At 38.3% G+C, this 12,979-nt stretch overlaps 1 protein-coding gene across 25 annotated transcripts in view; it reads right to left on the bottom strand.

Moving 5' to 3' along the window:
• RIC8B (RIC8 guanine nucleotide exchange factor B) overlaps positions 1-12,979 on the bottom strand; it is a 114,635-nt gene that overhangs the window by 52,382 nt on the left and 49,274 nt on the right. For all 25 annotated transcript variants that reach the window (NR_147135.2, NR_147133.2, NR_147137.2 and 22 more), the window contains one exon: positions 11,115-11,209. Coding sequence is in view for 10 of the 25 variants with exons in the window: in NM_001351361.2 (NP_001338290.1) it covers positions 11,115-11,209 (95 nt within the window). In the remaining 15 variants the exon portion in view is untranslated. The remainder of the gene's footprint in view (positions 1-11,114; positions 11,210-12,979) is intronic.

Genomic DNA, 12,979 nt, shown 5'->3' with positions numbered 1-12,979 from the left:
AGTGGCATGTCTGAAGAACAGTAAAGAAGTTGGTGTGGCTGACCCACCATACATAAGAGGAGTAGGATATGACATCAGGTAGATAACAGAGAAGACCAGATTGGTCTTGTAGGATATTATAACTTTAGATCTTATTCTGATGGAAGTGGAAAATCATTCATTGCAGGGTTTTGCATGATGAGATCCTCTTAACTTAGGTTAAAAAGGTCACTCTGGCTACTGCATTGAGGACAGTCAGTAGGCCATCAAAGGTAAGGGAGAATAGTTAGAATGTTACTGCAATAATTCAGGTGAGTGCACAAGGTATTAACAGTGAAGTGGTTCATTCGATACATAATGAAGGATTTCCTGACAGGCTAGTGTGGAGTGTGAGAGAATCTAAAGTTCTAGCCTTAGCAAGTGAAAAGCTGGAGGTGCCATAAACTGAAAATGGGAAACACTGCAAGAGAAGAAGCTTTTTAGGGGGATGATAGAGAGTTTAATTTTGGATGTTAAGTTTGGGGTGTCTAGTTGACATCCAAGTGGAGATGTTAATAGGAAATTAGCTAGGTGAGTCTGGAGTTCAGGGAGGGAGATCAGGGTTACAGAGGGATATAAACTGAAAAGTCATCAGCATGTAGATGGTATTTAAAGAGAAGACTGTATTAGATCAGTAAAGGAGTGAGTGTGGATTAAAAGACTATGAAAGCTGAGACTGGAGCACTCGATCAATCATTCAGAGGCTGAGGAGTAGACAAAGAATTTACAATTAGTTAGGTAAGAGGAAAACCAAGACAGCATGGTATCTAAGAATGGAGTGATGATCTGTGTCAAATGATGCTGACAGATCAAGTAAGATGACTGAAAAATGTCCACTGGATTTAGCAACACAGAAGTCACTAGTGACCCTAACAATAGCCATTCTAAGTGGAGTAGTGAGGCTAAAAGCCTCGGTGAACTGGATTCAAAAGAACAGTAGAGGAATCAGATAGTTACCACTTAAAGGAGTTTTGCTACAAAGAACAAGAGATGACTACAGCAGCAACAGGTGGGGAAGCTTCAAGAAAACTTTGAATGGAAAGACCCCTGAATGCTACCCTCAGTGAAATACCTTTTAACCCATGGTGACCAGGTCATTGTTCTCTAAATGTGCTGTAGACATACTCTCTTTTCTGTATTTGTCCATGTTTTCTCCTGCCTAGAACATTTTCATTCTTTAAGACTAGCTCAAACCTCACTTTATTCATTCAACAAATATAATATTTGCTATGCCTTGTGCTAGGTGCCAGGTATAAAAAAGAAAATAAACTCCTTTTCGTAAGGGAAGGCAGCATAACATAATTAGTAAAGCACTGGGTTTGAATTCTAGTATGCCTTAGGCAAATTATACAACCTCTTCTAGGCCTTGTCCTACCTCTAAAATAAAGGAGCTTAAACTTACCAGGTTGATGTGGGTATTAAATGAAGAAAGGCATGCAAAGCATTCTGCCTGGCACATAGTAAATGTCAACAATTAAGGAGCTTCTGAACAGCAGACATATTCCACTATAAGAGGGAATAGCAAAAATTTGGAGGAATGAGAGATTATGGTACTTGTGGGGAACTGAAAACAGGTTCCTAAACCTAAAGCAAATGATAAGGCCTCTAAAGGAGGGGTCTTAGTAGGTAATAAGACCAGAAAGGTCTATTTATGTATGTATGAAATGGGGTGGGGACATTATAAAAAGTCTTGTATGTTATGATAAGGTAACTTACTAATGACCTTAAACCAGAGTTGTGCTGGCAGAGGAATAGATGCAGAAGCCTGATTACAGTGGGCTGAAGAATGAATAGAGGGTAAAGCCATGGAAACGGTAAGTACAAACCAGTAGTCTGCAAAGTGAGGTAGATACAACCCTGGAGGTACATAAGATGATCTACTGGGTGTGGGAAGAAAAGAGTTCTACTTTTTTTTTTTTTTTTTTTTTTTTTTGAGACAGAGTCTCGCTCTGTCGCCCAGGCTGGAGTGCACTGGCGCAATCTCAGCTCACTGCAAGCTCTGCCTCCCAGGTTCACGCCATTCTCCTGCCTCAGCCTCCCAAGTACCTGGGACTACAGGCACCCGCCACCACACCTGGCTGATTTTTTTGTATTTTTAATAGAGACGGGGTTTCACCGTGTTAGCCAGGATGGTCTCGATCTCTTGACCTCGTGATCTGCCTGCCTCGGCCTCCCAAAGTGCTGGGATTACAGGCGTGAGCCACTACACCCGGCCGAAATAGTTTTATTTTTATTATTTTTATCTAAAAAGTTGAAAAGAAATTAAGCTTTACTAATATTTTATAAATGAATTGACATTGGTACCCAGACCTGAACCATAAATCAAATGCTCCCCATGTCACAAACAAATGCAAAGTATCTTGAGATACTTTGAAAGAAGTATTAAAATTGAGAGAAGAGTTAAAATTCCATGTTACAGAAGGGTAGCAGTGATGTCCTTCCTTCCTGGTCACTCATTTGCTTTCTTCATTGGTCATATTACAATTTACATATGCCCAGTTAACTGGGTTTATATATTATATCCAGTTTTAACTAAACCAATTCTTGTAAAATGAACAAACTGTTTTAAATAATTCCTATAATACAAAGACACCAACATTGAAGATAATTAGTATAAGCAAAGGATAAGAAAATGGCAGAGCCTTTTGTATGCCATTATCATGAGTCAAAACAAGGACAATCCAAACAGATCTGACAAGAAACTAGTTTTAGAAAAACTGGAAATTATCTGTAACATGAATTCACAACTACTACAATACTTAGGAGTCTTGCCTTAAGTACTGTATTAGTCCCATAAAGGAATAGCTGAGACTGGGTAATTTATAAAGAAAGGTTTATTTGGCTCACAGTTCTGCAGGATGTACAAGCATAGCACTTGTATCTTACTGGCTTCTGGTGAGGGTCTCAGGAAGCTTACAATCATGGTGGAAGACGAAGGGAGAGCAGGAGTATCACACAGCAAGAGCGGCAGCAAGAAAGAGGGGGAGAAGGTGCTAGGTTCTTTTAACAGCTAGATCTCGAGTGATCACAGAGTGAGAACTCACTTGTTATGGGGAGGACAGCACCAAGCATTCATGAGGATCCACCCCCATGACTCAAACACCTCCCACTAGGCCCACCTCCAACATTGGAGGTCACCTTTCAACATGAGATTTGGTGGGGACAAAATATCCAAACATATCAAGTATATAATGTGCCCACAGCTATTAGCTAATGATAGTTCAAAGCCACCACAATTAACAAGGTACTTAAATAGTAAGTGTGCAGAACATAAAGAAAAACTTCTGCTATTTGATAATTTTTTTTTTCTTTTTTTGAGACAGAGTCTCACTCTGTCACCCAGGCTGGAGTGCAGTGGCACAATCTAAGCTCACCGCAACTTTTGCCTCCCAGGTTCAAACGATTCTCCTGCCTCAGCCTCCCAAGTAGCTGGGATTACAGGCATGCGTCATCATGCCTTGCTAATTTTGTATTTTTAATAGAGACAGGGTTTCTCCATGTTGGTCAGGCTGGTCTCGAACTTCTGACCTCAAGTGATCTGCCCACCTCAGCCTCCCAAAGTGCTGGGATTACAGGCGTGAGCCACCACGCCCAGCTGATAATTTTGAAAGTTTGTGGCAGGTTAATTTTAAAAATCTATTTTAAAATATTAATCTCTATGTTATCCCTTTTTATTATTTGTATATAATTTCATTATTTCGTATGTCAGTTTAGCAGCATATATATATAAGGTATATGTAAATAAATATACTTGAGGGTGTATTCAAAAATTTTTATTGATTAGGAATATGATCAAAATATTTAGAGGCTAATGGCACACAAAACACTGTCAAAAAACTTAGCTGTGAATGGAAGGGAAGAAACAGGGTCATATCTCTGAGGTGACAAAGATCCGATAAAAGATTTTTTTTTCCTCACAAAAGGGATAGATCTCAGCATGTCACATATTGAAGGGATAAAGCCCAAAGAAGAGACTGAAGAACTAGAGGAGGAGTTCAATGCTGAAATAAGGCCTCAAGAGGCAGAAGAAAAAGGTGTGGGCATTAACCTTGGGCAGCGAGAGAGCCACTTAATTTCCTGAGATTGGCAGAAAACAGGAAAGAATAGGTACATTTTACAGTACACTTATAGGTAGGGATGGGGAATTAAGGGTTTAAGAACGATCCTGCTTGACAGTTTCCAATTAGCCTCTTAAGAGGTCAGCAAGATCATCTATCTATCCATCCCTTCATCCAACTAATATTTATTGAGCATTTACTAAGTATACCTGTTCTAGGTGTTGGGTATATAATGGCAGAGAAGACAGACACAATCTTCACTCTTTTTAAGCATAAATTTTTTTTTTTTTTTCATACAGAGTCTTGCTCTGTCTCCCAGGCTGGAGTGCAGTGGCCCCATCTCAGCTCACTGCAATCTCAGCCCCCCAGGTTCAAGCGATTCTCCGGCCTCAGCCTCCTGAGTAACTGGGACTACAGGTGCCCACCACCCGCCCATCTAATTTTTGTGTTTTTGGTAGAGACGTGGTTTCACCATGTTGGCCAGGCTGGCCTCGAACTCATGACCTCAGGCGATCCACCCGCCTTGGCCTCCCAAAATGCTGGGATTACATACAATTTAATGAAGGAGAGAAACAATAAACAAGTGGAAAAATAAAAAATGAAGATTATTTCAGTTAGTGATAAGTACCATGAAAAAAATAAAGCAGATGATAAGATAGTGACAAGATATGTGTGTGTGTGGTGGCAGGGGGCTGGGAGGGAGTTCTTAATCTAAATTAGGCAGTCAGGGAAGGCCTAACTGAGGAAGTGACATTTGAGCTGAGTTCTCAGTGTCAAGAAGGACTCAGCCTCTTAAAGATCTGGGAAAAGGATTCCACGCAGTAGACAGAGCAAGTGTAAAGGCCCTAATAAGGAATCTATGTCTAAGGAAGAGAAAGAAGAGCAGAGTAGCTTGAATACAAAGTCATGCAGATTGTGGAATGGTAGGCTCCTGGAGGCAAAGGGAGGAAGTGGCTCCATGCCATGCAAATGTGTTGCTTGATAACAGAAAGACGGATGCTCTCGGGGCAGAGAGTTCCCAAGGTGAAGGCCAATGCCTCAGATCCAATTCCATGGATTCATCCAATACAACGCAACCAGAGATGGTTTCCCTCATTCAGAAGTTACTGGCATATTGCCATGATAACAGCATTTTGCCCAATTTATTAGGCAGAGACTCTGACACTTTAGCATGATAGCATGATATTCTGCCCTGAAGTCTTGTTGAAAGGGTTTAGATTTAATCCAGATGTCAGGCTTCAATGGCCATGCTAAGATGTATTTGAAGGCTTTAAGCTCTCTCATAATCTCACAACCCCTACACCATGTTGCCAGGCCACCCCAAATATCCATAATAAAAACTAAGTAAAAACATGTTATCTTCTGAGGACAAGGGGGTGCAGAAGGCCTTTAGAGAGTTGCAAAGGTTTGGTAGAATCATATACATAGGATGAAAGTGGGAACTGACCAGGGGAAACAGATTTTCTACATAAGACTGCATATCATAAACACATGCAAAGTGATTAAAAAAATTTTTTTTCTCTTAATCCTTAAGACAGAGAAGAGCCACGAAAGGACTTAAAGTAGAAATCCGCTTTTTGAAAAACACCTCTGTGTGCAGTGGAGAAGATGGAGCCATCTGTCAGGTTAGGTAAAACTTTCCCTTAGGGCTCAGCAGCCTGTGGAGAAAGAAGGTGGGCTGACAGATCTAGGGTTGAGTGCTTTAAGACTGGCAGGACATGGTAATGGAGTGGAGCAGGTTGAAATGATGAACAAATGTTTTAGAATAGAGATGGAAGAAAGGAAATCTATAAGAGGACTTAGAGATAGGAGAAAAAGGAATCATCAGAGGACTAGAAGTCTGGAAAAGGCCAGGACAGGTATCATTTGAGCAAGGAAGACTTTCTTCATCATGACAGACCATACTTACATTGCCCTTTGAATTCTATTAGCAATTATTATTTGAATAATTAATTTACTGGGAAACTACTAAAAAAAAATCTGTGATATCTCTCTATCCCTGTCTCGAATTGTTATTTAGCTTTCCTAACATTTATGTCTTTTCTCCTTATAAAAAAAATAAAGCAGATGATAAGACAGTGACAAGATATGTGCATGAGGGGGAGGGAGGGTCTTAATTTAAATCGGGCAGTCTGGGAATTTAGTCTCCATGTTCCTCCAGGTATGCATTGTGAAGTCCTCTAAGACCAGTGTTCAGCTATAGTTCAGAAAACATCTGTTCACCTAGATGACTGTCATTTACAGAGAGTCAGCTTAAAGAGCTAAGAGCTTTATGATTACAACAAAACCAATCCAAACCCCTTCTCAATCTCTCCAAAGTAAATTATCCTTTTCTGTACAACTATATAAGCTTATTCATGTCTAATACCGCACTCATCAAAACAACTCTACCTATTTACTTACAAATCTGTCTTATCTATTGATTAGCGAGTCATGGAGAACAGAGACTGTGCTGTATTCACCTTTGTTACTCAACATAGTGCCTAACACATAGTAGTGCTTAATTAATAAACAAATGAAATCAATTTTCAAACATTTATTAAAAGTCTGCCTTGTGTAATTAGAAGACAGTATTGTTAAAATGTTAATACAACCCAAAGCATTCTATAGGTTCAACGCAATCCTTATGAAAATCCCCATGACACTCTTTTTTAGAAATAGAAAAACCCACTTTAAAATTCATATGGAATCTCAAGGGACTCTGAATAGTCAAAATAATCTTGAAAAAGAACAAAGCTGGAGAACTCACACTTACTCATTTCAAAACTTACTATAAAGCTACAGTAACCAAAACAGTGTGTTACTGGCCTGAAGCCATACAGACAAATGAAATAGAATAGAGAGCTCAGAAATAAACTCTCACATATATATATTCAAAGGTTTGGTAGAATCATATATACAGGATGAAAGAGAGAACTAATCAGGAGAAACAGATTTTCCACATGAGACTACAGATCATAAATACTTGCACAATGATCCCCCACCAATCCTGCTGCCAAAAAGTTTTCTCTTATTCCTTAAGACAAAGAGGAGCCATGACAAGATTTAAAGCAGGCATTTGCTTTTTGAAAAACACCTCTGTGTGCAGTGGAGAAGATGGAGCCATCTTAATGAATAAATGAAAAGAGTTACGGAGAAGGATGGTGGTGATGGTTGCACATTATAAATAGAACCACCAAATTGTACACTTAAAAGATAGCAAATTTTATAACTGTATTTTACCACTATAAAAAAAACTGAAAGAAAAAAAGACTGCCATGTTTAAGGCATTGTATTTAGCACTGTAATAAGGTGTTATTAGGTACTGTATTATGTACTATATTGTCCCCTTCAATATGTGAGACAAAGTGAATTAGTCTAAACAAAGAAACAGTAACAAAAAGCTTTATAAATACCAATGTACTCAGTGAGTAAAAGAAAACGAGATTGAGAGCCTAAAATAAATTAAATCAAATCTGGTCCTCCCCTCCTCTCATCAGCATATAGGCCATCCTGATTTCTTCCCTTCTCTCCAAAATAAAATAAAACCACAACCACATGCCAACTTTTTTGGGCTAAGTATTTATGCATAAGCTTGTTGATTATGGACTGGAGTGCTGAAAATACTTTCAGGCACATAGAAATGAACAGAATTAGGATGTCCTTCAGTGGAGCAAAAAAGGTGGATCATACCAACAACCTACCTGTTACCATTAAGTACAGACAAAAGGAAATGAAAGAATAGATTTTAAAAGCCATATAAAATGTTGATTAGTGGAAATGAAGGTCAAGGTCTGCTGTCTTTACGAGCTAACTCATTTCATCTCTATGTCCATGTCCTCTTGACTTCTCTGAAAAAACTGCACTGTCTTACAAAGACAACGTATCAGAAAAAGCTGCCAGGCTATTTTTTTTAACCTACTTTTCTCCTAAAGCACCTTTATAGGCTCCTAACATGCATATATCATAGAACTTATCTGGCTTCAGAAACACTTGGATTAAAAGAAAAAAGATGTCTTTACATGATCACAGGATGAACATAGGCATAAGTTCCTAAACAGCGTATCAAAATCAACAAACAACTTTTAAAAAAAGATTTAAAATAACTAAATATTCTAAAATCCAGTATGTTTATCATAATACTAATAGAAGTAGCACATCAGTGGCACAGTGGCAGTGGTGGCAGCAGCGGCAGCAAGTGCCATTTACTGAGTATTTTCTCATTGCCAGGGAAGAGGTGCTTTATGAACCTCTCATTTAATCACCATCACAACTCTTTGGGTTTGATGATAACGCACAACCATACACTGTGCTACCCAGGGTTACCTATTTCATTAAACTTTTCTTTAAAGCAAATCAAAGTGTCCAAAAAAAAGCAAAAACAAACTTAGAAAATAACTTTCAAAAATGGAATTTGAGATGTTACTTTGAAATCCTTTAAAAAAATTTTTATGCTTAAAACACACACACAGAGAAAAATTGTTTTCAGGATCACTACAGAAGCTTCCTAAAATAGCACTTTGAGGTTAGTGCCATTTTCATTGAATTTAAATGGATTAGCCTGGAGTCATTACTGCTCAAAATGATACTAATCACTCTAATTCTGATTAAAGGAACATGCAAGGCCATTCCAGATAAACTGTTAAGTCAGCAGCAACCTCAATCTCCCAGGAAAGCCTCTGAGAAATACTCATAAATCCTGTCTGTGGCTCTAGGCATGCTCCTTATTTACAGTGAAGCCGATAGGTTTTTATCAAAATAACTTTTAAGACAAAAGCAAATTTAAGGAAAAAAGCTAGCATCACTAAGGAAAATAAATACGACTTCTTTAAAAAAATTTTATTTTAAAAACCTCTATTACATAGTTTTGCTCTCTTTCAACAAATACTGGGTGCTGCGTCAAGATATTAAATTCATTATTCGGAGAAATCTTTGGCAATGTATTTGTGACTAGTATAGCAATTTTGGTCAAAGTGCCTTCCTTTCACATCCTTGTATGATTATTTAACTTGTGATATCTGACTTCTTAAAAAAAATCAATTTACTCTTGGGCTTATAAGAGCATTTTCTTTTAGTTTTAGGGTCTAAATTTCTAGTGTCTCTTAATTACGAAAAAAATTACAGTGGGTCAAAATGTTTAATAAAATCTTGTTAGGATATGATTTATTGCAGTTAATCTGACTTTTTTTAAAGGTACTGTCTTAAGAAAACTAAAGGAATGTTTGATTTGTAGCTACAGAAAAACAATTACATTTTTTAATCAAGAAAAACAGTCTTTTGACAGGCTGCAGGGCAGGGAGTACACTGAGATAACCTACCAGCAAATTCAGTACAATATCAAATAATAAGTTGCTGATCATAACTAAAATAATATGGATTTAATTGAAAAATAACAATTAAGCATATGTTTCACTTTATACTGTGGCTGTGTTTCTATAGTTTTATTTAAGCCGTATTTTGGAAAACTGAATATTTTAAGTGTTCAAAAAGGAATTTCTACTATTAAGAACAACCCTATGTTAAATTCTTTGTAGAGTTAATGCCAAAGTAATTTGTTTGCAGATATGAGTTTATTTGAATTGTTTAAAATGCCATTTGTATTCATATAGAATAAAGCATCATGAGTAGCATCATGATGAAGTCAGAACTCTTGTTATTGTAAATCTGATCCAGAATGGAAAGAGAACTGGAAAAATGCATTAATTCTTATTCAGTTGTTCTCAGAGTACAATAAATTTTTACAGCAGTCCGTTAATAGTTCTAACGGACAAGTCGCAAAATTTGAACTATTTTATTTATTTATTTGAGACAGGGTCTCGCTTTGTCACCCAGGCTGGAGTACAGTGGCGGAATTTCGGCTCATGGCAACCTTCACCTCCTGAGGTTCAAGAGATTCTCCCACCTCAGCCTCCCAAGTAGCTGGGTCTACAGGCGTGCGCCACCACATCCAGCTAATTTTTGTATTTTTAGTAGAGATAGGGTTTTGCCATGTTGCCCAGGCTCAACTCAAGTGATCTGCCCGCCTCAGCCTCCCAAAGTGCTAGTATTACAGGCATGAGCCACAGCACCCAGCTGAACTATTTTATATATTTTATTTACTTTTAAAATTAATTAATTAATTTTTTGAGATGGAGTCTCACTCTGTTGCCTAGGCAGGAGTGCAACGGTGCGACCTTGGCTCACTGCAACCTCCACCTCCCAGGTTCAGTGTTTCTCCTGCCTCGGCTTCCCGAGTAGCTAGGATTACAGGCATGTGCCACCATGCCCAGCTACTTTTTTTGTATTTTTAATGGAGACGGGGTTTCACCATGTTGGCCAGGCTGGTCTCAAACTCCTGTCCTCAAGTGATCCACCGGCCTTGGACTCCCAAAGTGTTGGGTTTACAGGCATGAGCCACCACACCCGGCCTATTTTATATATTTTAATGCTAGACACTATGCCCTAATTCTTACAAGTTTTTTTAAAAAATAAAACTATCATTGCCAAAATATATACTTTTTGGTAAGTACTCTTCAAATGAAATTAGTGAGAGTACTAGTTAAGTGTAGTAATTAAAAGCAGGGTTTAAATCCCAGCTCTTTCACTTGTTAGGGCTGTATAATCTCAGAGAAATTGCTTGATCTTTCTATGCATCAGTTTCCTCAACTAGTAAAAGGGAAAAATTGCAGAATCTACCTTATAATGTTGGCATGGTGATTAAAGAAGTTATCGTTATAAAGCACTTAGCACAATGCCACAGAGTTAAGTGTTCAATAACTGTGTACTATTATTGTTGTTCTGGATAAAACCAAGAACAGTAACTATTTGTGGCATTTGCAACAAATGCCAAATTCTCTTCTCCTGTTGAGCCTCAATATAACAAAGTGAAAGGGGGCAGAATAAAAATTTCTCATCAGGGCATAGTAATGATTTCCATGATAATGATTTCTGACCTACCAGTTACCTGATTTACTGTAGTATTTTCACTTTCTTGTGCTTATAACAATTGAAATTAGATGCATAAAACCAAGAACAACTGATGATGTCCTTCATTGGGATATCAATACAGAGCTTACCCACCTGTGTAGCTCTTCTGTTTTGTCTTCAGTTGGACCTACGATTAGTAAACAATGACGAAGGACAGCTGCCATTACACGGAACTGATGAGAATCACTCTATGGCAAATAAAAAAGAGAGGAAACATTGGGGGTTGAATGCCTGAACAGTGGGGTCTGCTACTTTACTACATCTCTTGCCCACCCCAAACAAGCATTCTTATACCATACATTTTAGATGGCAGAATATCCTAGGAAGAATTCCTGAGGCAATACTAATAGTCACTATCTCTTATGAACAACCATAACCACTTCTAGAAATGCTGACCTAGCCACTCTCATTTACCTTCTTAAGATTCAATTCCGCTAGAGACTTTTTTTCATTTCCAAAAAGCCTAAATTCGTTTTTTCTATGGTGCACTGTTGCAGTTTACTAACCATTATAAAAGTTTCAACAGATGTGATGTTACCAGGTTATTTCAGAGACTGGTTGTACACCCTTAATAAAAATGTCTCATCTCTTAACTTTCAAAGCAATAAATCCACGAACTTCATTTTAATCAATCTTAATATCCTAATTCCCCCAGAACTACCAGCAAGTAATGAAATACAAGTGATCTCCAATGTTTACTCATTGGCAGTGGTATTAAAGAGACACAGGGAGTTAGAGGCAAGAAGGCAAACAGTAGGAAATAAACTAAGCCCTGAATACTCATTTGGTTTACTTCTTCATTTTTAGTGAGATCTTGGGCCATTACACCTGCTTTAATTATCTGCATCAAAGTCATATCTTTCTTCTTCCAGATTTTAAATAATTAAGAAGACACATGAAATTAGAGACAATTGTGATAGAGAGCCTGGATATGCCATATTTCAGGAAGACTCCAACTACCTCAAAAACTACTAAAAAATTATAAAACTTTTTTCTTTTTTTTTTTGAGATGGAGTTTTGCTCTTGTCGCCTAGGCTGGAGTACAATGGTGTGATCTCGGCTCACCGCAACCTCCGCCTTCCAGGTTCAGGCGACTCTCCTGCCTCAGCCTCCCGAGTAGATGGGATTACAGGTGCCCGCCACCACACCCAGCTAATTTTTTTTTTCTTTTTGTATTTTTAGTAGAGACAGGGTTTCACCATGTTGGCCAGGCTGGTCTTGAACTCCTGACCACAGGTGATCCACCCGCCTTGACCTCCCAATGTGCTGGCATTACAGGTGCCAGCCACTGCACCCAGCCAAAACTTCTTAATATATCATCGATTTCAAGTCCATGTGAAGTGATATATTTTCATAAATTATACACATACATCCTATATTCATATATAGAACTCACATAACCCTTCTAGGAAGATGTCTCTCCTAAAATCTAGCAAGCAATTAGGGCACACTTTCACAACTCATAATGTGGACCATAACATTTTAAATATAACATCATCATGTATAGAGCTGGATGAGAAGAGGGCCTCAGTGGCCTAACTGAAATAAAGGCACTGCACTTGGGGTCAGGACTCCAGATTGGCACTTTAGACAAGTCGTATAGTTTCTCTGAGCCTCAGTTTCCCCACATGAATCTCCAAATACTGGAGGGTTCTGTCAGGGTTACAAAGGATTAAAGAAGATGATATGCATAAAAGTGCTTTAATGCTTTCAATATAACATTTGAAGGTTGGGGGAAGGGTAACAGAGGAAGGGAACAAAAAGCAAGACTGATAGAGCTGAAACAAATGATAAATCATTGTAGGGGGAAAGGGGAAAAACAAAGAGGACTACTGGAATGACAGAGACACTGAGACTGGAAGGGTTGGAATGAATGTTGTCCCATTCACTATCCATCTCAAACGCCTGAATAAAAATTCTCTCATACGAGTCGGGTGCCGTGGTTCATGCCTGTAATC

This window comes from Homo sapiens, chromosome 12 (assembly GCF_000001405.40).
Source record: "Homo sapiens chromosome 12, GRCh38.p14 Primary Assembly".
In the NCBI taxonomy this organism is placed as follows: Eukaryota; Metazoa; Chordata; class Mammalia; order Primates; family Hominidae; genus Homo; species Homo sapiens.
This window is presented reverse-complemented; position numbering and strand designations above follow the sequence as displayed.